Source organism: Homo sapiens, chromosome 1 (assembly GCF_000001405.40).
Source record: "Homo sapiens chromosome 1, GRCh38.p14 Primary Assembly".
NCBI lineage: Eukaryota > Metazoa > Chordata > Mammalia > Primates > Hominidae > Homo > Homo sapiens.
In genome coordinates this window covers 19,681,109-19,706,206 of record NC_000001.11, presented here as the reverse complement: position 1 = coordinate 19,706,206, position 25,098 = coordinate 19,681,109, and the positions used below count along the sequence as shown (strand labels likewise).

Sequence of the window (25,098 nt, the reverse complement as noted above, 5' to 3'; positions counted from 1 at the left end):
TGGGCCAGATGCGGTGGCTCACTCTTATAAATCCCAGCACTTTAGGAGGCTAAGGTGGGAGGATTACCTGAGTCCAGGAGTTTGAGACCAGCCTGGGCAACATAGCAAGACCTCATCTCTACTAAAATTTAACAAATCAGCCAGGTGTGATGATGACAGACACCTGTAGTCCCAGCTACTTGGGAGGCAGAGGTAGGAGAATCACTTGAGCCTGTGAGGTCGAGGCTGCAGTGAGCCACAATTGCGCCACAGCACTCCAGCCTGGGCAACAGAGGGAGACCCTGTCTCAAAATTTAAATTAAATTAAAAAGTGGTACCCGAGTGAGGATTTTCCGTAGTTTACCTGGAAGGCTGAATTATTCTAGTATTATAAGGTTTTGAACCAAACAGTGGATTTTGACTGTTTTTTTTTTTCCTTTCCAGCAGCTATGACAGCAGCCAGTATCGTCTTTTTCCTAACCTAAATAGGTTTCCCCTCCTACACCATCCCGTTCTAGGAACAGTCAGGTGGTAATGGGCTCTGACTGCCTATCCATATCTACCTTGGGTGGGTCTAAGGCAAGCTTGTCCAACCAGTGGCCTGCTGGCCACATGCCACCCAGGATGGCTTTGAATGCAGCTCAACACAAATTAGTAACGTTCCTAAAACATGAGTTGTTTTTTTTTTTGCAATTCTTTTTTTTATTTTTTTATCTCATCGACTATTGTGTTAATTTATTTTTATTTATTTGTTTATTTATTTATTTATTTATTTTTGAGATGGAGTCTGTCTCTGTCGCCCAGGCTGGAGTGCAGTGGTACCATCTTAGCTCACTGCAATCTCCGCCTCCTGGGTTCAAGCGATTCCCCTACCTCAGCCTTCCGAGTAGCTGGGACTACAGGCACCCACCACCACGCCTGGCTAATTTTTGTATTTTTAGTAGAGACAGGTTTTTGCCATGTTGGCCAGGCTGGTCTCAAACTCCTGACCTCAGGTGATCCATCCGCCTCAGCCTCCCAAAGTGCTGGGATTACAGGTGTGAGCCACGGTGCCCGCCTAGTGTTAGTGTATTTTATGTGTGGCTCAAGTCAGTTCTTCCAATGTGGCCCACGGAAGCCAAAAGATTGGACACCCCTGGTCTAAGGTGGTTCTTGCCAACCGCCCTTAGCTAACACCATGCATTGCTGAGAGCCTGCCACGTAGCTTATCTCCAGGTCAGCAGCGACAAAGAGAGCAAATCTTTAAAATCTAAGGGTACATCTGGGCATGGCAGTGGTCTAAGGAGGAAAGGGGGAGGGTCCCAGCTAGGCAGCTGCCAGCCCAGCTTCAGAGATGGGTAAATGTGTTGCCAGCTTGGTTTGGCTGTGCTCAGGACTATTTTATGGGGTTCAACTACGAGTCTCAGTTCAAGGTCACAGGCGGCTCCCTTTTTAGGTTTTCCTGAAGCTCAGCTGTCCGTGGATCCTGACTGTGGCTCAGGAATGCTGCTATTACCACCGCTGGCCACAAGGGGTCCCAGCCCTGCAGGCAGCCGCACCAAGGCTCGAAAAGCAGTCCCAGCTCTTAGCAGGGCAGACTCTGCCAGGCAGAGAAGGCGCCCTGAATGGCCGGCCCCCAGAGAAAGCTGCTGAGCTCATGGTTATCCCTGGGTCCACAACCATTTGGCACTGTAGGAGCAACGATAACCCGCATATGATCACTGTGCACGTTGTTATTGCAGACAGCAGAGAGAAAGGCCCCAGGGACCAGCAGCTCTGCGTGCAGTCTGCGTTCTGCTCCCAGGCTTATTCTCATTGGCTGTGTGACCTTGGGCAAGCCCCATCCCCTCTCTGACCCTGTTTCCTCGTCTTCCAAGGGAAATCGCGTTGATCTCTAAGGGCCTTCTCAGCAACAGCCTTGCCAACAACAAAAGCACCTGAAGTAGCCTTTATGTTGGAGGGATATCTGAGCCATCCTTGCTATTCACCACAAACTGTCAGCTTACTGAAGTTTTAAATTCTTCTGCCAGATTGTCATTGTCCTGGAAACAAAAGGAGCAAAATCAGAGTTCTGTGCTATGGAGTCTTTTAACCTCAGAGCCAGAGGGGAACTCAGAGAGCTTGGTACTACAAGGGTTTTCAAACTGTTATCAGCCTGGAACCCTGTATTCAGACAAACTCTGACATGGAAGCCCAAAAGGAAAACCACTGAAAGCACTCTGGTTAGAAACTGGAGCCCAGAGAGAGGAAGCTGTCTCTGTCTGTGTCTGTCTGTCCTGTGTCGCTCAGCAAAAGAGTAGCAGAACTGGTTGAAGCTGTCCCAGCCGGGAACATTTCCCAGCAAGGAACTGAGTGTGCGGCTTCCTGGTGTGTGAGGGAACTCAGACCATAAGAAAGAGCTGGACGGGCGTGGTGGTTCATGCCTGTAATCCCAGCACTTTGGGAGGCCGAGGCAGATGGATCACCTGAGGTCGGGAGTTTGAGACCAGCCTGGCCAACGTGGTGAAACCCCATCTCTACTAAAAATACAAAAATTAGCCAGGCATGGTGGTGCATGCCTGTAGTCCCAGCTACTTGGGAGGCTGAGGCAGGAGGATCGCTTGAACCTGGGGGGTGGAATTTGCAGTGAGCCAAGATTGCACCACTGCACTCTAGCCTGGGTGAGAGTGAGACTCTGTCAAAAAAAAAAAAAGAGGAAGAAAAGAAAAAGAAAGAAAAGAAAAGAAGGAGGGAGGGAGAAAGGAAAGAAAGGAGAGAAGGAGGGAAGGAAGGAAGGAGGGAAGGAAGGAAGGCAGGGAAGGGAAGGGAAGGGAAAGAAAAAGGGAAGGGAAAGGAAGAGAGTGCCACAAGGGGGAGGCAGGGGGCTAGACAGGCCAGTGGGGCGCACGAACTCCCACTGTGCATTCACTATGCTGGGGTTTTTCCCATGTGACTTAATCCTCATAAAGACCCTATAAGGCCAGCATCATCATCCTCTTTTAGGCTTGGAGAAGTTACATGATTTGGTTCAAGTCACATAGCTCGGAAGTGGCTAAGCTGGGATTTGAACCTGATGTCAAAGCCTGTAAACTGGTTTTCCTGATAGAGACAGACATTTATTTACTGATTCATTCATTCATTCAAATCTTTATTGAGCACCAAATCTGTAACCGGTGCTGTTCTGGGCCCTGCCACACTGCTGTGAATAAGGCACTGGAGTGCCTGCCCTCATTGAACCTCCATGTTAGAGGAGGAGACAGATGATAGACAATAATCTGTGACAAGGAGAAAAATAAAGCAGAGGATTGGATAGAGGCTGAGGGAGGGGTGCATTTGCACCTCTTGTTTGTCCAGAGCAGTGTTTCTCCAAGCCTGGTCCACATGCCCATCTGGGAACTACTGGTTTCCAATCTGCAGCAAGATTTTAAAAGACATGTTGGCTTCTCTATTTCTGTACTTACAGAACAATTGGATTGCACTTTGGTGTTTGTTTGCTTGTTTGTTTTGAGACAAGGTCTGCCTCTGTCACCCAGGCTGGTGTGCAGTGGTGTGATCATAGCTCACTGTGGCCTCAAACTCCTGGGCTCAAGCAATCTCCCTGCCTCAGCCTCCCAAGTAGCTGTAGCTGGGACTATAGGTGTGCACCACCACACCCAGCTAAATTTTCTTTCTTTTTGAGACAGAATCTCAATCTGTGGCCCAGGCTGGAGTGCAGTGGCCCATTCTCAGCTCACTGCAACCTCTGCCTCCGGGCTCAAGCAATTTTCGCGCCTCAGCCTCCCAAATAGCTGGGATTACAGGCTTTTGCCACCACCACACCCAGCTAATTTTTGTATTTTTAGTAGAGACAGGATTTTGCCATGCTGGCAAGGCTAGTCTCTAAATCCTGGCCTTCAGTGATCCACCCACCTTGGCTTCCCAAAATGCTGGGATTACAGGCATAAGCGACTGTGCCGGGCCCTGACTTTTTTTTTTTTTTTTTTTGTAAAGACAAGAGTCTCGGCCAGGCACGGTGGCTCACGCCTGTAATCCCAGCACTTTGGGAGGCTGAGGCAGGCGGATCACGAGGTCAGGAGATCAGGACCATCCTGGCTAACACAGTGAAACCCTGTCTCTACTAAAAATACTAAAGATTAGCCGGGTGTGGTGGCGGGCACCTATAGTCCCAGCTACTTGGGAGACTGAGGCAGGAGAATGGTGTGAACCCAGGAGGCGGAGCTTGCAGTGAGCCGAGATTGCGCCACTGCACTCCAGCCTGGGCTACAGAGCGAGACTCTGTCTCAAAGAAATAAATAAATAAAAGACAAGGGTCTCACTATGTTGCCCAAGCTGGTCTTGAACTCCTGGGCTGAAGCGATCCTTATGCCTCGGCTTCCCAAAATGCTGAGATTACCAACACTAGGTGAACCACCGCCCCCAGCCCAGACTGCACTTTGAATAGCCCTGACCTGAAATATTTCCTAAATCATTAGATCGATGCAGCGGACGAGTGCACTCCCTGACCCCAGGACCTACTCGCCCCCTCTCCTCTTCACCCCCCACTTCCCACCAGTCTGCACAGGTCCCAGGGAACCTTTTGCAGAGGAAGATATTGGTGTCTCCCACCTGGCATGCAAGATGATGCGGGGCCCGTTAGTCTCTTCTAAAGGAAGACATCCATCCATAGTCCACGGCTGGTGTGAGCTTTGTGGGTGGTGGAGAGAGACCTGGGTTCCAACCCAGGCTGTGTTGGAACTTATTAGCCATGTGATCTTGCAGATATCTTTGGTTTTCCTTAACTCTAAAATGGGGAAAATGAGACTGGCTGCGGTGGCTCACGCTTGTAATCCCAGTACTTTGGGAGGCCAAGGCGGGTGGATCACCTGAGGTCAGGAGTTGGAGACCAGACTGGCCAACATGGTAAAACCCCATCTCTACTAAAAATACAAAAAATTAGCCGGGCATGGTGGCACGTGTCTGTAATCCCAGCTACTTGGGAGACTGAGACAGGAGAATCGCTTGAACCCAGGAGGCGGAGGTTGCAGTGAGCTGAGATCATGCCACTGCACTCCAGCCGGGGCAACAGAGTGAGACTCCACCTCAAAAAATAAATAATTAATAAAATAAAATAGATAAAATGGTGTAATGATCCTTTGAAGGAATAGATTAGACATATAAGAGGCTTGATTCAGGTTCTGGAACTCAGTAGGTAGAAGCCTCCATGCCTATCCATGCATGTTTGCGTGTTTGCATGTGTGTACATGCACATTTGCACATGATTGTCCACGTTCACGTGTGTGCATGTGTATGTGTGTGACATTCATCTCCTCCACTGCTGTTGGAGTCCCTCCCAGCACCCAATGTGGCCAGGGACACTGACGGCCTTTTCTGGGGTCTTTTGCCAGATTGCCAAGGAATCATCGAGGACGTCATCCTGCTGGGTGCGCCTGTGGAGGGAGAAGCCAAGCATTGGGAGCCTTTCCGGAAGGTGGTGTCCGGGAGGATCATCAACGGCTACTGCAGGTCTGTCCAAACCTCGTGCCAGCGGGGAAGTGACAATGCTTACGGAGCACTTAGTATGCCCAGGCTCTGTGTTGGGGACACATATTTGAGACCTAATCCCTGTCCTGGAAGATCCCAGGAACCGGCCGGGCACCGGCCCTGTTAGGAGCAGGCCCAGGCCTGGTGATCTGATCTGGGAAGCGGCCCTCCAGTAGCATGATGGACAGAAGGGTGGATTCTGAGAAGATGTTTCTGTGTCAGGCCTGAGAGCAGCAGGATGACAGGAGAGGCTGGGGCGGCTTGGCCTGGTTGGAGCTGGGGGAAGGGACATGGGCGAGTGGAACACAGACTGAAAAACAAAGATTGGGCCACAGGGAGGTGTTTGAACAAGGTCTGAGAGGCTTCTGTGTTAGTCTTTGGTGGTGGAGGGAGGGGCTGGAGGGGCCTAGGCTGAGCTTTCTGAGTGCTGCCTTGGAGACAGGGCAGGGTGCTAGAACAGGAGGCCGCCAGCGTGCAGGAGCCTATACCCAAACAGGGTGACAGACCCTCCAGCCAGAGGAGGGGGCCCGTGAAGGCTGGCGGCTGCAGGGCTAGAAAGGAAGCAACCCTTTGGGGTTTGAGAAGGAGGACCTGCGGGGTTTCAGCCAAAGCTGTGACTCAGACTTTGGGGCAGGAGGGAAGATTAAACCCAAAACTGAGCCCTCTAAGATTGGCCTGAGTAGAAGCCCCATCCATCCAGCCTCTGGATGAAGCAAACGTGTTTTCAGAGCAACAGTGTTTAAGGCTCTTGATTTGGAAGCACACAGGCCTGGGTTCTGAGGCCCACCTTCGTTTCTCCATCAGTAAAAGAGGGATACTGGTAGCAACTGCCCTCAGAGTTGTGATGATGCTTGAAGGATTTACAGAGCTGAACGTGTGTGTGTTTGCATGTATGTACATGCTCGTGCACATGATTGTCCATGTGTACATGTGTGTATGTGTGTGCATGGTACATACATGCTTTGTGAATGACAGGTGATGTCACCATTTTTTTCATTCATCATTGTCAATCACTTGGGATATTCATTCAGCAAATTCAGTGAGCACCAAACGTAGGCCAGGCAGCATGGTGGGAGGCTGAGGCAGGACAATCACTTGAACCTGGGAGGCGGAGGTTGCAGTGAGCTAAGATCGCACCACTGTACTCCAGGTGGCAGTTGTTCAGCCTGGGGCTTGCACATCAGCATTGGCTGGAGGGCCTGGGAGAGAGTGGCAGCGAGCAAGACTCCATCTCAATATATATATATATATATATATATATATGTATATGAAAAAGATAAGGAATGGACAAAGACTTTGATGCAAGACAGTCCTAGGTTAAAATCTTGCCTCTGCCATTTACCTTTTGAATGGGTTTAGACAAACAACTTCCCTGAATTCAGTGTCCCCACCTATAAAATAGGAATAATAGTCCCTCCTGTACAGAGGTTCTGGGAAGATTAAATGACATTATGAAGCAGAAGAACTGGCACTTAGTAGGTGCCCAATAAATGATAACAGTTATAATGTTTATTACTTGGCATACTCACATAGCACATGCCTTTTTTTTTTTTTGAAACGGAGTCTCACATTGTCACCCAGGCTGGAGTGCAGTGTTGCAATCTCAGCTCACTGCAAGCTCCACCCCCCAGGTTCATGCCATTCTCCTGCCTCAGCCTCCCGAGTAGCTGGGACTACAGGCACACGCCACCACGCCCGGCTAATTTATTGTATTTTTAGTAGAGATGGGGTTTCACCGTGTTAGCCAGGATGGTCTCAATCTCCTGACCTCGTGATCCACCCGTCTCAGCCTCCCAAAGTGCTGGGATTACAGGCGTGAGCCACTGCACCCCGCCGCACATGATTTTTTGGTACTTTTTGTAAACAGCAAAGGGAAAGAATTAAAATTGCATGTGTGCAGTGGGAACACAGCAAAATCTTATTAAACCCATCTGTTCTGTTGAGAACCTGAGGTACATAACTTGGTTTTCAATTATTTTGTGAGACCCTGGGCCATCTCTTTATGGAGAGAAAGGAGAAAGAGAAGGAAGAAGAAAGGGAAGGAGGGAAGGGGAGAGAGAGTGTAGATCAAAACAACTGTAGTTCTTTGGTTAAATTAAGCATCAGCCAGGAGTTCAGATTCTTGGCCTCCAAAGGCCTTTTAGCTGCTGAGAACATAAACATGGAGGGTAAGAGGGATGGGGATTCAGGCCAACCCTACCCAACTACACAAGTTTACTCATGTGTAATTTACATGAATAAAGCTCTTTGTAAATCCACTCCCTTACCTGGGCTATTCACGAACCTTCTGGAAGCTAGCTGAGGTGATAGCACTGCTGCCTGTCACATCCCTGAGGAAGTGAAACTCAAAAAGGGGCAAGTGACTTGCCCAGGGACCCACAGGCAGACCCAGGATATGAGCTCAGGCCTGTCTCACCCCACCGTGAGAGGGCCACATTCTGAGTCCTCAGGCGGGCTCCTTGTAACCCAGGACAAGAGGCCACCCTGTGGGCTCTGCCCCAGGTGCCATGTGAGGAAGGGATGACAGAAGAAGGAGCAGGGAGGACCCCTGCCCACAGGTGGCTCGAGGCCTTGTGAGTGAGCCATGTCTGCCTTCAGCAGGTGGCAGTTGTTCAGCCTGGGGCTTGCACATCAGCATTGGCTGGAGGGCCTGGGAGAGAGTGGCAGCGAGTTCCCGGTTCAGCTCAGGATACAGGGATGACTAAGGCACAGACCTGCCCTCAGGGAGCTCTCTGCTTTTCTAGAAAAGGGGAAACACAGGAGATGTGTGGCAAACATCATAAAAGGAAGAAGTACCAGGCACACAAGGGGTGAATGATTAATCATTTCGGATGGAGGACAGGCGCAGTGGCTCACACCTGTAATCCCAGCACTTTGGGAGGCCAAGGCAGGAGGATCGCTTGAGCCCAGGAAGGAGTTCAAGACCAGCCTGAACAACATGGCAAAACCTGTGTCCACAAAAAAAAAAAAAAAAAATACAAAAATTAGCCAGGCATGGTGGCGCACACCTGTAGTCCCAGCTACTTGGGAAGCTGAGGTGGGAGGATGGCTTGAGCCCAGGAGGCAGAGGGTACAATGAGCCAAGATCATGCAACTGCACTCCAGCCTGAGCAACAGAGCGAGACTATGTCTCAAAAAAAATACAAAAGTTAACCAGGCATGGTGGCTCATGCCTGTAGTCCCAGCTACTTGGGAGGCTGAGATGGGAGGATGGCTTGACCCTAGGAGGCAGAGGCTGCAGTGAGCCAAGATCGTGCCACTGCATTCCAGCCTGGGCAACAGAGCGAGACTATGTCTCAAAAACAAAAGCAAAAAAATACAAAAATTAGCCAGGCATGGTGATGCACACCTGTAGTCCCAGCTACTTGGGAGGCTGAGGTGGGAGAATGGCTTGAGCCCAGGAGGCAGAGGCTGCAATGAGCCAAGATCGTGCCACTGCACTCCAGCCTGAGCAACAGAGCAAGACCCTGTCTCAAAACGTATATATATAGTACTGGGTGGAGAGGCCCAGGGCACTCCCTGGAGGAGGGGATGTCCAAGGTGAATTTTGAAAGGATGGCTATAGGAACCCATCAGAGACCGGAAGCACAGACTGAACCAGAGAGAGGCGGCACAGCACACACACGTCCAGCACAGGCGCTAATAGTCATGCCCGCGGCTCCCTGAACACCTGTGTATACATGTCCCCCCTCAGTTAATGCTCCCGCCAATGCTGAAAGCTAAGATAACCTGAGGAGACTGAGGCTCAGAAAGGTCAAGCAACCTGTCCAAGGTCACACAGCTCATAATTGACAAGGCAGGAAATGAACCTGGCTCTGTATGGTCCAGAGCCGGGTGGAGAAGGTCTTGAATGCCAGTGAAGGCCCATGGTTTGCTCAGCACAGTGAGAGGGTACAGAACCTTCTAATCTGTGTTCCTGCTCTGCCCCTACATGTGTATAAATACATGTAATTCACATTTTAACTAAAATGTTGTCATAATTACAACAGAAATAATTTTGGAGGAATGATGCTGTCTTTGCTCATTTATACCCAGCTGTATTGGAAACATTTCCTGACCATCCTCATATCCAGTATTTGATGCACTGGATTCTTATAAATAGTTCAATAAAATAACTTGAATTGATCTCCCTTTTCTCCCTCTAGCCATCCTTTTTTTTTTTAATTTTTTTTATTTTAGTTTTTTGTTTTTTGTTTTTTGAGACAAGGTCTCACTCTGTTGCCCAGGCTGAAGTGCAGTGGTACAACCATGGCTCACTGCAGCCTCAACTGCCTTGGGCTTAGATGATCCTCCTGCCTCAGCCTCCCAAGTAGCTGGGACCACAGGCACACACCACCATGCCCAGCTAATTTTTGTGTGTTTTGTAGAGATGGGGTCTCCCTGTGTTGCCTAGGCTGGTCTCAAATGCCTGGGCCCGAGCAATCCTCCCACCTCAGCCTCCCAAAATGCTGGGATTACAGGCGTGAGCCACCGCGCCCTGCAACCGTCCATTCTTAGACAGTGCTTCTTGGACCCTCAATATTAGGATAATCATCGGTACCTGAAAGCATTGCTCTCTGGAGAGACTGAAGGAATTGTCTAGATGAGAAAGCCCATAGGTAATGGAGAGCTATGGTCTGCTTATAAGGGAGCACAGTGGTCAGATGGGTGTTCTAGGAAGACTCCAGTGGCTCAAGGTAGGTGAGGCCAGGAGCAGGGAGTGCGGTGCAGAGGCCGTCGCATTCATCCATGGGGCGGGGAGGGAGGATTGCCTGCTCTCAGGGCTTGACCACAAGGGGCAGGTATTGGAGGGGAGAGGGGAGGAAGAACTGGGAGGACTCTGATACGTTGGCCATAGGGAGGAGGCACCCAAGACATTGGTTTCTACTTGAAGGACTGGGCAGATTACAGTGGGGAAGGAGTTAGGGACGGATGATCTCACTTCGGGACACAGCAGGAGAGTCTGTAGAGGACCCCTTAGCTCAGGGACCCAGTCCTCCTGGGGGTTTTCAGAGTGGTACCCACTCACAAACCCAGGTGCTCAGAGACCACAGAGGGTCAGAGCTTGGAGGAGCCTAGAGAGCACCACCATGCCCTGTGTCCCAGACAGGTGGGGGACTTGCCTGTGGTCACACAGCAGGGCACATAGACAGGGCCACCAGGATTCCAACCCCAGCCTCCTATCTCTCAGCCATTCTTATCCCTCTACAGTGAGGGAGGACCCTTCTTTCAGATCAACCAGTGTGCAAAAATAACACCATGTATTTAGTCCACATAAAAGACAGCAGAATGGGCTGAGTTGGATCTGAGCCTGGGGTGCAGAGGGGAGAACAGAAGCTTGCCTGTGCGCAGACTTGCTGGGCGGCAAGGCCCGAGGGCATGGCTCTGGGATGGCCCAGCTGCATCCCAAGACAGTTCAAGGGTTTGCGAGGGAAGGCTGCTTCAAGGGGCCCCTCAGACCATGTCCTCTGTAGACAGTGCTCATTGCACCTGAAGCAATGGGCAGCAGAGGGTCCGAGGTCATTTCTTCTGGATAGTGTAGGGGCAGTGTTTGGCTGGGGCCAGGTTCACGGAGTGGGGTCACAGCACCCCTGAAAGTAGAGGAATGTTCCCAGCGCTGTGACTGCCTGGACAACCACCCTCGCCTCCTCTGCTGCCTGAGGGCAGGGAGACCTGCAGCCTGGGCTGAGCCTGTCCTGGGAAGGCCAAGCTGGTCCCTTCAGCTCACAGATAGGTCGCCTAGACCCCAGAGTTCCTCCCCTCCTCACAGGTGGACCTTCTCTGCTTTTCTTTTTCCAGGGAGCCCTGGACAAGCCACCTTTCCCGAGCTGGGAGTAGCTCTCCTGAGCCACATGGTGACTTTTTGAGAACTTTATCCAGATTCCTCATTCATTCATTCATTCAGCAGATATTCCTCTATTGCATGCCAGACACTGTTCTTAGCTCTGGAGACCCAGCTGGGAACAAAGCAGGCCGCCTTCATGGAGCTACCTGGTGCTTGTGCATAGCCCTGCACACCATGCCTGGCACCCAGGCCAGGCTCCAAAAGCATCAGCTGTGGCTGCTTCATCTTCCATCCCCACCGTGCAATCAGGGGCCCTGTTTTCCCCCAGAAGCTCCATTCCCACCTGGCTTCCCCAGGAGGCAGCCTGGCCCGTCCTGTCCTTGGGCTGTCCGAGGCTGGTGCTAATGTTCACATGCTTCTCTACCCTCCCACAGGGGAGACTGGCTGCTGAGTTTCGTGTACCGCACATCCTCGGTGCAGCTCCGTGTCGCCGGCCTACAGCCCGTGCTGCTGCAGGACAGGAGGGTGGAGAACGTGGACCTGACCTCTGTGGTGAGTGTCGGCCTGTTCCTCCTGGGGCTTTGCGTTTGCTTAGTTGCTCCAGCCCAGCCACCCCTGTCCCCTGGAGACAGTGGCCCCAGCCTGGTCCACGCCACAGGAGAAAGATCATAAGAATTTATTTGGAGCCAGGTGCAGTGGCTCATGCCTGTAATCCCGGCACTTCGGGAGGCCCAGGAGGGCAGATCCCTTGAGCCCAGGAATTTGAGACCAGCCTGGGCGACATGGCAAAACCCTATCTCTATAAAAAATTTTTAAATTATCTGGGCATGGTTGTGCGTGCCTGTAGTCCCAGCTTCTTGGGAGGCTGAGGTGGGAGGATCACTTGAGCCCAGGAGATGGAGGCTGCAGTGAGCTGTGATCGTGCCATTGCATTGCAGCCTAGGCATCAGAGCACAACCCTGTCTCTAAAAAGCAAAAACACACATAGATATACAACTAGCAATTAACAGGAACAGGATTGGATTTGAACCTCCAGAGCCCTCACTCTTGCTCCTGTATTACTGCCGTTCCCCACTCCCGAGTCCCCCCCACCCAGGGCTCCCCAACAGCCCCATCTCAGCTCACTAGTCAGGACTGTATGTTTCTGCGAGAAGCAGCTGGAGCAAGCAGGGGACACAGGTGGAGGGCTTTAGGCTAGACCAAAAGCAGAAGCACCTGCCTGCTAGGCTGTGGAAAGATGGGATGCAGAGCGGGACATCTGGGGAATCTTTAAAATGCAGAGCCCAGGGCCCCACTGCCCAAAACTTCTACATCAGTCTCTAGGGGCAGAGCCATGAGTCCACATTTTAAACATACTCCTAAGGGTTCCCATGCAGCTAAAACTAGGCTGGGGTGCAGGGGCAGATGGTCAGAAAGAATTCTTGCAGTGAATGGAGTGGGAGGGCACCTGCTGGGCAGCCACACAAACCCAACTTGAATTTCTTTTCTTTTTCTTTTTGTTTTTGTTTGAGATGGGGTCTCACTCTGTTGCCCAGTCTGGAGTGCAATGGTGTGAGCTCACTGCAACCTCCACCTCCCCAGTTCAAGCCATTCTCCTGCCTCAGTGTCCCGAGTAGCGGGGATTACAGGAGCCTGCCACTATGCCCGGCTAATTTTTGTATTTTTAGTAGAGATGGGGTTTCACCATATTACTCAGGCTGGTCTTGAACTCCTGACCTCAGGTGATCTGCCTGCCTCAGCCTCCCAAAGTGCTGGGATTATAGGCATGAGCCACCGTGCCTGGCCTTTTTTTTTTTTTTTTTTTTTTTTTTTTTTTTTTTTGAGATGGGGTCTCGCTCAGGCTGGAGTGCAGTGGCACAGTCTCGGCTCACTGCAACCTCTGCCTCCCAGGCTCTAGTGATCTTCCTGCCCCAGCCTCCTGAGTAGCTGGGACCACAGGTGTGCACCACCACATCTAGCTAATTTTTTGTAGTTTTGGTAGAAACAAGATTTCACCATGTTGCCCAGGCTGGTTTTGAACCCCTGAGCTCAAGCAATCCACCCACCTTGGCCTCCCAGAGTGCTGGGATTACAGGCGTGAGCCACCGTGCCTGACCAACTTCAGTTTTTTTAGACTTGAAAGAACCTCGTTCACCTGCCACATGCTATCCTAGGGAATTAATAGCTTCCCATGTGGACACTCACTCTATGTCCCGCTCTGCCCTAAGCCTATTTATTTATTTGTTTATTTATATTTTTGAGGTGGAGTTTCACTCCTGTTGCCCAGTCTGGAGTGCAATGGCGCGATCTCGGCTCACTGCAACCTCCGCCTCCCAGGTTCAAGCGATTCTCCTGCCTCAGCCTCCCAAATAGCTGGGATTATAGGCGCCTGCCACCACGCCCATCTAATTCTTTTTTTTTTTTTTTTTTTGTATTTTTAATAGAGATATGGTTTCGCCATATTGGTCAGGCTGTTCTCAAACTCCTGACCTCAGGTGATCCACCTGCCTTGGCCTCCCAAAGTGCTGGGATTATAGGCATGAGCCACCACACCCGGCCTGCCCTAAGCCTTTTACAGACATTACTGTCCCCATTGTACAGACAAGGTCACTGAGGCTTAGAGACATTCCAGGGTCACACCGCTGAAACATGGCAAAGCAGGACTCAAACCCAGGTCTGAAGCCAATAGATGTAGCCCCAGCCCAGGTAGATATGAGAACCAGTGGGAGAGGTGCTCCATAGGGGGAGGCGGGGAGGGGAGGAATAAGGAATAAGCTGTAACTACAAGCACAAGCCGACTTCAGCAATCAGGGGACCCTGAGAACAAAATCTTTGGTTTCTAGTTATTATGTTGCTGGCTGCCATTTATCAAGTGCCAAGTGCTTCCCACATGTAACCCAGTGTATTAGTCCATTTTCACGCTGCTGATAAAGACATACCAAGACTGGGTAATTTATAAAGAAAAAGAGGTTTAATGGACTCAATTTCACGTGGCTGGGGAGGCCTCACAATCATGGCGGAAGGTGAAAGGCACGTCTTACATGGCAGCAGGCAAGACAGAGAAGAGAACCAAGTGAAAGGGGTTTCTCCTTATAAAACCATTGGATCTCAGGAGACGTATTCACTACCATGAGAACAGGTTGGGGGAAACCACCCCTATGATTCAATTATCTCCCACTGGGTCCCTCCCACAACACATAGGATTTATGAGAGTACAATTCAAGATGAGATTTGGGTGGGGACACAGTTAAACCATATCACCCAGTTTCCACTCATGGTTGTTTGAGCAGCTGCTTCCTGCAGACAGACTAGACTCCTTTCTGGGCATCTAAAAATCCCCTGGTTTGAGGGGCATTCTGGCTTCCCCATTCAGGATCAGCAGCTGCCTGTTCTGATCACTCCACCACTGCATCTCAATGGCCAATGAAGCTAGGCCTCAGACCCACCCGTGCCACCACAGTGTGGCTCACACTGGGCTGCATGTGTTTTGAGACTTGACTGAGCATTTGATAACATGGGGGAATTATTGCACAAAAAAACAAAATCAAAACTTCACCAGGTGCTGCTGTCCATAAAGTCTGTCAGCCATGTCCCTGCCCAGAGGTCACCTGGGCCTCTCACCTGGCCTGACACCAGGTCGCTGGGGCCAGTTCACTTGTATCTTCACCCCTAAACTTCCAGGGCCTTAAGACAAAATTCCTAACCCACCAGAGGATCACAAATGAAGCCACCCTGTGCCTTCCTAACTGGGAGCTTTGGGGACTGGGGTAGAATAAGAGTCATTTCTAGGCTCATCCATTTATGAAACTGGTTGCTCCTGGTTAAAGAGTCTTCACAGGGGCCGGGTGCAGTGACTCACGCCTGTAATCCCAGCACTTTGGGAGGCCAAGGCGGGCAGATCACGAGGTCAGGAGATCGAGACCATCCTGGCTAACACAGTGAAACTCCGTCTCTACTAAAAATACAAAAAATTAGCCAGGTGTGGCGGTGGGCACCTGTAGTCCCAGCTACTCGGGAGGCTGAGGCAGGAGAATGGCATGACCCCAGGAGGTGGAGCTTGCAGTGAGCCGAGAGGGTACCACTGCACTCCAGCCTAGGTGACAGAGCAAGACTCTGTTTCAAAAAAAAAAAAAAAAAAAAGAGTCTTCACAGATAGACTTGGCTCACATGCTGTAAACCTCGCAACTCCCTAGAGGAGGTATTAAGCATCCCCAGATCATAGATTGGGAAACTGAGACTTGGGAGCATGGAGTCATAGCCAGAGTTGTAGGTCTGGACTCTGAGCCCAGCTTGGAAGCTGTGCTGCCCACTTCTCTGTGGGAATGAGGTAAGCTGAGTCACAAGACCAGCAAACCACAGTGACAGGAATTTTCTCTCAGCCCCTTGGCCACACTTGCAGCAGGGGCACCCCATCTACTCGGTCCACCACACTCAGCCCCTTGCAGGAGGAAGCACATGAATGAGCAAGTGTGGGCTCTGGCTGACCACTCCAAACACCGACACAAGAGCAAGCTCCATGCTGGGCCTGTGGCCAGACCAGGCGTGTTGCCTCGAGGGGAAAGTGGCAGCACCTGGGCAGGGGTACCCACAACCCTGAAGCCCCAGAGGGGGCGTTAGTGTGCTAATTAGCTGTTTTAGTTCCACCATTGACGGCCCAATAGACGGTGGTGTATTAACAGCTCAGTCGGCCCCTGACCCCATCACGTGGGGCAGCTGCCCTCCACTGATGAGGGCAAAAGGCCAGTATGACAGCCTTTCTGGGTACCCACACTCAGTGGGTCCCAAGCTCTTGTCCAGCATCCAAGAAGAATGAGGACACGCTGATAATTGAAGAGTGAGCAAGGCGAGGAGTTTTATTGAGTGATGAAACAGCTTTTTGCAGAGAGGGGATGAGTGGATGGTTCCCCTACCCAAAGGCAGGAAAGTCCCCACAATGTGGCTGAGTCTGGGGCTTTTATGGGCTCAGAATAGGGGAAGTGTGGGCAAACAGGAACAGAAGTTCTCACTCTGGGTCACAGGTTTCATGTGGGACCAGCAGTCCAGTCTTTCAGCCTTCAGGCTGTTTTTTTGGCTTGAAGGTGGGGTTTCACCAGGGACCCACCCCGTCTGCCTAGGCATTTGGCTGCCTCCTGTCACCATCAACAGGGCTCAGAGCTGATGCCTCCTGACCCATGTCCAGGGCTCTCTGTCCTATTCAAGGTGCCTGCACCCTGAATGGGGTGAAAGGGAGCAGGGACTTTGTGCCTCAGCACCCCAGGAGTCTCCCTTTGCCAGAAGAATCAGAGATAAAAAGCATCTGCTGAAGAAAGTAGCTTTTAATGCTGCAAAGCCCTCACAAGATCTGATTTCTACTGGGAATGGGATATGGTAGGAAGAGCACAGCCTTTGGCACCAGAGAGGCATGGCTTAGAATCCTGGCTCTGCCACTGGTTTACTGGCTGTGTGACCTTGGGCCAGTTACTTAACCTCTCTGTGTCTCAGTGTCCTCATCTAGGAAATGGTGGAAACGCCTAACTTCCAGGGCAGCGCATGTAAGATGCTTGGTGCATAGTAGGCCCTCCTTTAATCCTAGTCCCTCCCGGCCTGCCCCTGCCACCACCCCCAGTTTGTTTGCCTCTGGGACCAGCAGTTTTGGAGACTCCGCTCCCTCCTCAGGCTGTCTTCGTGGCAGCTTCCCAGCTCCTGCCTAATAATAGCTCTTTATCACATTAGGAGTACATCACAAAAAACAGTGCTTTCCTCTTCTGGGTAATTAGAGGTAATTAGCACTGCCTTTGTGCTGGCCTCCTGTTTTCCTTGAAAATGCTTTGCTGGAGAAGTTGCTGGCAAGGGAGGTTTCATTACTGCTGTTGGGGAAATGCTGGCCACCCTCTGCTCCCAACAGAGACCCACAGGACCTGTCTTCTCCCTGCTGGGCCAACCACGCAGCAGGGCCCTTTGTGATCATCCCACTGGGCTGGCCCTGTTGCAGGCAGGGCGCATCTCTGGGGTGAATGAAGCTGCCCTCCTGCCCCTCAGTCTCTCCTCACAGGGACAAGGTTACAGTGGGTGGGGGATTTGCCACCCCAGGGACCAACTCATGAGGCTTCTGGGGCACAGAGATCCAACCCACGGCAAGATTCTCCATGTCCCAGCAGAAATGCCAGGTGGCCTAGAACTTAGCAAAAGGCTTGGCACAAAGTAGATACTTGATAATAACCGCAGTAGCCAACAACTCACATGTTTTACGGGGTAAGTCATTTGATCCTCATAGAGGTCCTGCATAGTGGTAGTAACCCGTTGTACAGGTGTGAAAACTGAGGCTGCAGGCGGTGCCACGGCATGTGAGTGGTAGAGCCGGATGAACCTGGGCTGTTAACCACTGCTTCAGTACTGCCTGCATTCACACATCTCTGTAGCTTCTGGTAGTGGCCTCTAACCCTGTGCCAATAAGCCTGTTACATGTATTATCAAAGCCACACAGCCAGCCCACGTGGTATAGGTCTCTTTATTAGCCTCATTTTATACATGAGGAAATTGAGGTCCAAGAAGTGAAAGAACCCAAAGGGGCCTGATGGGCTTGGAAGGAGTCACTGGGGCAGATGGAGGTGGGTGATGGCAGCCTCTGTTTGGGTAAGTTGGGGTGTCTTTTGAGGCAGGAAACAGGAAGGGCTGGGCCCCATTTGTACCTGCAGGGATCTGGTTCCCACGGAAACCCCACGATGTGCGGGGCTGGCTGTGGGGCACAGAGGTGAGTGAGAAGTGGTCTCTGCTCCCCTGCGCTCAGTTTATCAGGGAACGCAACCTCATGAGCATGTGACGATGACAGGTTATGAGTGCCATCACAGGGTGTCCACAGAGGCCCCTGCCAACACGGGAAGCCACGGAAGGCTTCTGCACGCCAGTCACATCCGGCGTGTATCCAGGCAGCTGGCAGATTCAATCAAGACAGCCTGGGAGATGGTCAGGGGCTGAATCTTCACGCAGTATCGGCTACACCAGAACTTTCTGGTGCTGAGAAGAGGCTCTTTCCCGACCTGCCTCACCCCTCTTCTCTCATCTCTCCAGCTAACTGTAAAACCAGAGCTCTGCCCAGCAACTGCTCCCCTGGGTCTTTGCAGAGGGGTGGCTCAGGGACTAGGGTTGCCTGAGACCCAGACCAACTTGTAGTCGAGGAGGGCCAGAGCTGTGTGTTCTAGGACAGCTCTCAGTGGAATTTCCATCTGGTATCAGCTGCAGCCAGTGGGTACCAACACCTCCCTTCCTTCCTGGCCTGTTTCTACCCAGCACTGGCACCAGCCATCTACAACATTAAAAAGGTATAGGGAGGCAGTTCTTGTTTGTCCTTAGAGAGGCAGTTATCACTTGTCCCTGTGGGTCTGAAGTTTCTGCTGGCTGGAATTCAGATGTGATGGCTGGAGCTTGAGCAGCCATCTTGGGCTCCCAAATGGATCAGCCCAGCTAACTCCCTACTCTCCATCCCCCACTCGTAGGAAACTAAGGTAAGGGAACTCATATTTACAGAGTACCTCCTGGGGTGCCAGGCACTGTGCTTCATGGTTTGTATTATTTCTTCCCAGCAACTCCTTTAGGTAGGTATCACTAACTCAAATTGCATGATGTCTCTTTAAAAGTGTTTGGGGCAGGGCATCGTGGCTCATGCCTATAGTCTCAGCAATTTAGGACGCTGAAGCAGGAGGATCTCTTGAGCCCAGGAGTTTGAGACCAGCCTGGAGAACATAAGAAGTCCCCATCTCTACATTTAAAATTTAAAAGGCCAGGTGCAGTGGCTCACGCCTGTAATCCCAAGCACTTTGGGAGGCCAAGGAAGGCGGATCACCTGAGGTTGGGAGTCCGAGACCAGCCCGGCCAACATGGTGAAATACTGTCTCTACTAAAAATACAAAAATTAGCCAGGTGTGGTGGTGCACATCTGTAATCCCAGCTACTTGGGAGGCTGAGGCACGAAAATAGCTTGCACCTGGAAGGCAGAGGTTGCAGTAATCCAAGATCATGCCATTGCACTCCAGCCTGGGCAACAGAGCAAGACTCCGTCTCAAAAAAAAAAAAAATTAAGAAAAACAAAAAGTGTTTTGGATCATATAGGAACATAATATCAAAAGCTAGCATTCTCTGAGTTCCTATGAAGTGCCAGGCCCTTGAACTCCTTATAGCAATCATTCAAGGTCATGACTCTCATTTTACAGATGGGGAAGCTGTGGTTCAGGAAATTGTGAGGACTGGCCCAGTTACTGGTAAGAGACAGAGCCAAGGCTGGTACCCCAGCTTTTCAGAGAGTCCAAACTTAGGTTCCTTCTCAGGCCCTGCAGCCACTAAATATGTGTCCTGCTGCAGAGGGGCACTGGCTGTGCCTTGACAACCACCCTGAGCCCAGGGCCCTGAAAACCACTTAGATGTGTGAATACACGTGTGTGTATTTTCCCTGGAATCTGTTTAAAAGCATTCGTGAGGAAAGGAACGAGAGGTGGGCAGATTCTAGTGGTGAGAAAATAACAAAACTGTACAGGGAATTGTCTTTTCGTGTTTTTGAAAAATCATTTGATTAATACAGTGTGATTTGCAATTCAAATGGAAATGCAGATGTTACCAGCAGTGTCTTTGTGCTGTTTTCTGAGATTCCCAACAACAGCCTCCCTGGTGTTTTTCCTGTCCTTTTTTTAAAAAGAAAGCCTTCCCCTTCAGCCTTAAAGGAAAGTCCGGTCTCATGCGCATCTTTGGCACTAAAGCAGGCCCCCTCGACTGGCTGGGTATAACGTGAGACTCCATCTCAGGGGCAGATCCAGGCTGAGCAGCTTCTGCAGGCAGCATCTCAGGCTCAGCACCAGACTGTGCTGTTCATGCGCTGTGTGTCATTAAGCAAACCGCCACCCCTCTCTGGGCTTTGCTGCCCTTCTCTGTAAAGTGAGGATGATTTTTAACCTTCCTTCCTTCCCCAGCTGATTTTCTCTGAAGAGAACAGGCTTTAGAAACAGGCCTGGATGGCCGGGCGCAGTGGCTCACGCCTGTAATCCCAGCACTTTGGGAGGCCGAGGTGGGTGGATCATGAGGTCAGGAGATCAAGACCATCCTGGCTAACACAGTGAAACCCTGTCTCTACTAAAAATACAAAAAAAATTAGCCGGGCATGGTAGCGGGCACCGTGGCAGATGCCTGTAGTCCCTGCTACTCGGGAGGCTGAGACAGGAGAATGGCATGAACCTAGGAGGCAGAGCTTAAAGTGAGCCAAGACTGCACCATTGCACTCCAGCCTGGGCAACAGAGCGAGACTCTGTCTCAAAAAAAAAAAAAAAAAAAAAGAAACAGGCCTGGATTCAAATCCCAGCCCTGCCAAGTTCTAGCTGTGTGACCTTGGGTAAGTCACTTTACCTCCGTGTGGCTCAATTTCATCTACAGTGAGCAGCCGACACCTAGCAAAGGAGTATATCCAAGAAGCTTATTTGCTGCAATGTATTAAGGACCTACTACGTGTCAGGCATTGTCCATTATTACATCTAGGCATCAGGCATTTCAATCACACCCCTACTTGTTGCTCACCAACATATCCCAACACAAAAATGGGATGAACGTATGACTCTGACGAAGGGGGTGGCCACTTCTGAGTTCTTGGCCTTTGTCTTAGTTAAGATGCAGACCCATATAACAGAGGCCCTGCTAATGTTTTTTGTCTGTTTGTTTTTTCTGGAGACAGGGTCTTGCTCTGTCGCCCAAACTGGAGTGCAGCGGCACAATCAGGGCTCACTGCAGCCTCAGCCTCCCAGGCTCAAGCCATCCTCCTACCCCAGCCTACATAGTCACTGGAATTACAGGCACACGCCACCATGCCCAGCTAATTTTTGTATTTTTTTGTAGAGACAGGGTTTCCCCATGTTGCCCAGGCTGGTCTCAAACTCCTGGGCTCAAGTGATTTTCCCACCTTGGCCTCCCAAAGTGCTGGGATTATAGAGGTGAGACACTGTGCCTGGCCTAATTGTCTTAAATACACTAGGGTTGATTCTGTCACATAAAAGAAATCAGAATAGGCCATTTAGGGCTGATGTGCCACTCCACAGTCTTCAAGGACCAAATTTCCCTCTTGCTGCTTGTTCTGCCTTCCTTAGTGGGCTGACTCATGGCCCAAGATGGCTGCTCAAGCTCTGGCCATCTCGTCTGAATTCCAGCCAGCAGGAAAGAGGACATGAGGGAAGAAGAGCACTCCTCCTCTTAAAGAGAATTCCAAGGAACACCACATCACACTACCGCTTCAACTCATGGGCCAAAACTAGTCACAGTGCTATTCCTAGCTGCAAGGAAGCCTGGGGAGTGTGCCCAGCTATAAATGTGAGTCCTTGTGACTAAAGAATAAACGGCAGAGTGAGTTGTAGCCAGCACCTTGCAGTCTATGCTGTAGCTTTCTTTCCAATTTGAGGACTTTTCCAGGGAAAATCCTCACAGCCAACCTCTGGTGAAACTACCCTTGTGTTCCCCTTTTTACAGCGGAGGAAGTTGAGAGCCAGAGGGGTAGAGGGGTAGAGGGGCTTGACCAAGGTGTCACAACTAGTGAACAGCAGAGCCCTTCTGGAGTAGCCTAGAGCTGCAGGCATCAGCTGGGCACAGTGCCTCAGGCCTGTAATCCCAGCACTTTGGGAGGCTGAGACAGCAGGATTTCTTGAGGCCAAGAGTTCAAGACCTGGGCAACATAGGAGACCCCATCTCTACAACATTTAAAAATTAGCCAGTCATGGTAGCATGCACGTGTAATCCCAGCTACTCAGGAGGCTGAGGTGGGAGAATCACTAGAGCCCAAGAGGTCAAGGCTGCAGTGAGCTATGGTTGTACCACTGCACTCCAGCCTGGACGAGAGAGAGAGAACCCATCTCTCTCTCTCTCTGTTTTCATTTTTCTTTTTTCTCATGCTATTTTAACAAAAAGCCCATCCCTTAAAAAAAAAAAAAAAAAAAAAAAAAGCTGCCGGGCACAGTGGCTCACGCCTGTAATCCCAACACTTTGGGAGGCTAAGGCCAGTGGATCACTTGAGGCCAGGAGTTCGAGACCAGCCTGGCCAATATGGTGAAACCCCTTCTCTACTAAAGATACAAAAAATTACTGGCATGGTGGCACACGCCTGTAATCCCAGCTACTCAGGAGGCTGAGGCAAGAAGATCACTTGAACCTGGGAGGTGGAGGTTGCAGTGAGCCAAGATTGCGCCACGGCACTCCAGCCTGGGCAAGAGCCTGTCTCAAAAAAAAAAAAAAAAAAAAAAAAAAAAAAGCTTCAGACAAAGAACGAGAGCTTCTACTCCACCTTTCTGTTTATCAGGAGATTCCTTCCTGCCCCAAAAGGATCCAGATTTTTTAGAGAAACATCCTTCATCTTTATTTAATAAATTCTAGAACAGCTTTGAACATAGAGCCTTCCCACCCACTCTGGATTTGAGAGCCACTGAGGGATGGAGTCATGGGTTTGGTGATTCGTTGGCTGTGGATGCTCAGGGCAAGGCTGAGGCCCAGAAGTTTGGCCGGAGGTCCCTGGGGAGGGCTGGGCTCTGCACACCCACGGTGGTGCTCACTCACTGTCTCCTGCAGGTCAGCGGCCACCTGGACTATGCCAAGCAGATGGATGCCATCCTGAAGGCCGTGGGCATCCGCACCAAGCCAGGCTGGGACGAGAAGGGGCTCTTGCTGGCCCCAGGCTGCCTGCCCTCCGAGGAGCCTCGCCAGGCAGCAGCTGCCGCCTCATCAGGCGAGACCCCCCACCAGGTTGGGCAAACCCAGGGTCCCATATCCGGAGACACCTCCAAATTGGCCATGTCCACAGACCCCAGCCAAGCCCAGGTGCCAGTAGGGCTGGACCAGTCTGAAGGGGCCTCCCTTCCTGCTGCTGCCAGCCCTGAAAGGCCCCCCATCTGCAGCCATGGCATGGACCCCAACCCACTGGGCTGCCCCGATTGTGCCTGCAAGACCCAGGGCCCCAGCACGGGGCTGGACTGACCACAGCAGGGGACCTGAGCCGTCTTCCCCAGTCTCCATATGCAGCTCTCTCTTATACCCTCGGGTTCCTCCCAGGAGCTCTGGAGGTACAGGATTTCCACAGGCCTCTTTCCTAAATGGAAGGAATTGGAACTGAAAGGGAAAGGAAATGGAAGGAAGGGGAATTTGGAGGAGAGAACACGCCCACCCTTGGGAAGCTGCCTGTCCCCAGAGGAGCCCCACCAGGGAGCAGCTGCCCCCTCATCAGAGACCTGCAGAGTCAACCAAGCACAGGTTAGAGTCCCAGGACCGGAAACCAACTGTGGGCTTTCTGTACTTCTCATAGCTTTGGAGTCTGGCTGTCCATCAGGAGGTCCCGAGGGCTCTCTGGGGCCTGAGGCTCCCACACCAGCTCTCCCCTGGCCTCAATAAAACCAGGTGCATGCCTGTTCTTCCATCCACACTCCAGGGCTGCCCACCAGCTGACAGGCACCATCAACTGGCAGCAACAGAGCAGGCGCAGGTACAAAGAAGGCAGCTCACTCCTGCTCTTAGGAGATCCAATCAGATCTGCCCTGTACAGCCATGTAGGCTGTGCGCTGCATAACTCCAGGGACATGAGTCACACAGACACAATGTGAGTGTGCTCCCCCGTCATGCAACATCTGGACACCACTAACAGAGCATGGTGAATACATGCTGAATTGCATTCAGTATGGCTGTGAACTAGGCCTGGGGACAAGAATGAATTTTACATGGAAAGAATTTCCTGTAGCAGGAACAGAGGGGATAACAACAGCAATAAATAATAATAAGAAGAAGCTACCACTTCTTGAGCATGTACCACATACCAAGTGGTTGCCTGGGTTGTGTCAGTTGGAATTCACAGCAATCCTATGAGGTAGGGACTATTATTATCTTCATTTTATATTTGGGGAAACTGAGGCTCAGAGGGATCAGGTAACCTGCTGAAGGCCAAACAGCTGGTTAACGATGGAGCCAAGTTCCAGGCCCCTGTATGTCAGACTCTAATGCCCAAGTCCCAAGCCACTGGGTCTGCATCCGTGAGAGCTTTCCTCTTTGTTCCTCCCACAGTCCCTGAATGGCAGGGCCAGAGATAATGCACCCTTGTTGTGCAGATGGAGAAATCAAGGCCCAGGCAGAGGAAGGATTGACAAGCTCTGGGGGAGGTGGGAGGAGGGCAGCAAAAATTAGAGTCGTAGAACATAGGAGCCAGATCCCTGCTCAGGTGCGTGTGTATTCATTTGTTCATTCGACACACATTTATGGCTCACGCCTGTAATCTCAGCACTTTGGGAGGCCAAAGTGGGAGGATTGCTTGAGGCCAGGAGTTGGAGATCAGCCTGGGCAACATAGCGAGACCCAGTCTTGACAAAAAATTAAAATAAAAAAATTAGCCACTGCCAACTACTCAGGAGACTGAGGCAGGAGGATTACCTGAGCCCAGGAGCTCGAGGCTGCAGTGAGCTATGATTGTGCTGCAGCACTCCAGCCTGGGTGACAGAGTGAGACTCTGACTCTTTTTTTTTTTTTTTTTTGAGACGGAGTCTTGTCTTGTCACCAGGCTAGAGTGCAATGGCATGATCTCAGCTCACTGCAACCTCCACCTGCCAGGTTCAAGGGATTCTCCTGCCTCAGCCTCCTGAGTAGCTGGGATTAAGGCACTTGCCACCACGCCTAGCTAATTTTTTGTATTTTTAGTAGAGATGGGGTTTCACCATATTGGCCATACTGGTCTCCAACTCCTGACCTCAGATGATCCACCCACCTCAGCCTTCCAAAGTGCTGGGATTACAGGCATGAGCCACCATGCCCAGCCAACTCCAACTCTTAAAACACAAAATTTAAAAACAAGTATTTATGCAACTCTTGTTGCTTTTAAACTAAGCTGCTCATGTCATACATGGGAAATGGAGGCTCTGAAAGGGGAA

At 51.0% G+C, this 25,098-nt stretch overlaps 1 protein-coding gene across 16 annotated transcripts in view, besides 1 other annotated feature; it reads left to right on the top strand.

The window, feature by feature from the left end:
* TMCO4 (transmembrane and coiled-coil domains 4) overlaps positions 1-23,967 on the top strand; it is a 117,677-nt gene extending 93,710 nt beyond the window's left edge. For all 16 annotated transcript variants that reach the window (NM_001349112.3, XM_011541185.4, XM_047416926.1 and 13 more), the window contains 3 exons: positions 5,322-5,439; positions 11,656-11,773; positions 22,763-23,967. In NM_001349112.3, the coding sequence (NP_001336041.1) occupies positions 5,322-5,439; positions 11,656-11,773; positions 22,763-23,167 (641 nt within the window). In that variant the 3' untranslated portion in view covers positions 23,168-23,967. The remainder of the gene's footprint in view (positions 1-5,321; positions 5,440-11,655; positions 11,774-22,762) is intronic.
* Positions 16,645-17,159: an enhancer, noted in NCBI's record as "NANOG-H3K27ac-H3K4me1 hESC enhancer chr1:20015541-20016055 (GRCh37/hg19 assembly coordinates)". NCBI's record gives its function as "activates a minimal SCP1, AML or CMV promoter by ChIP-STARR-seq in naive H9 embryonic stem cells {active_cell/tissue: H9 hESC(naive)}" and the evidence as "EXISTENCE:reporter gene assay evidence [ECO:0000049][PMID:30033119]".
* Positions 23,968-25,098: the final 1,131 nt, after the last annotated feature.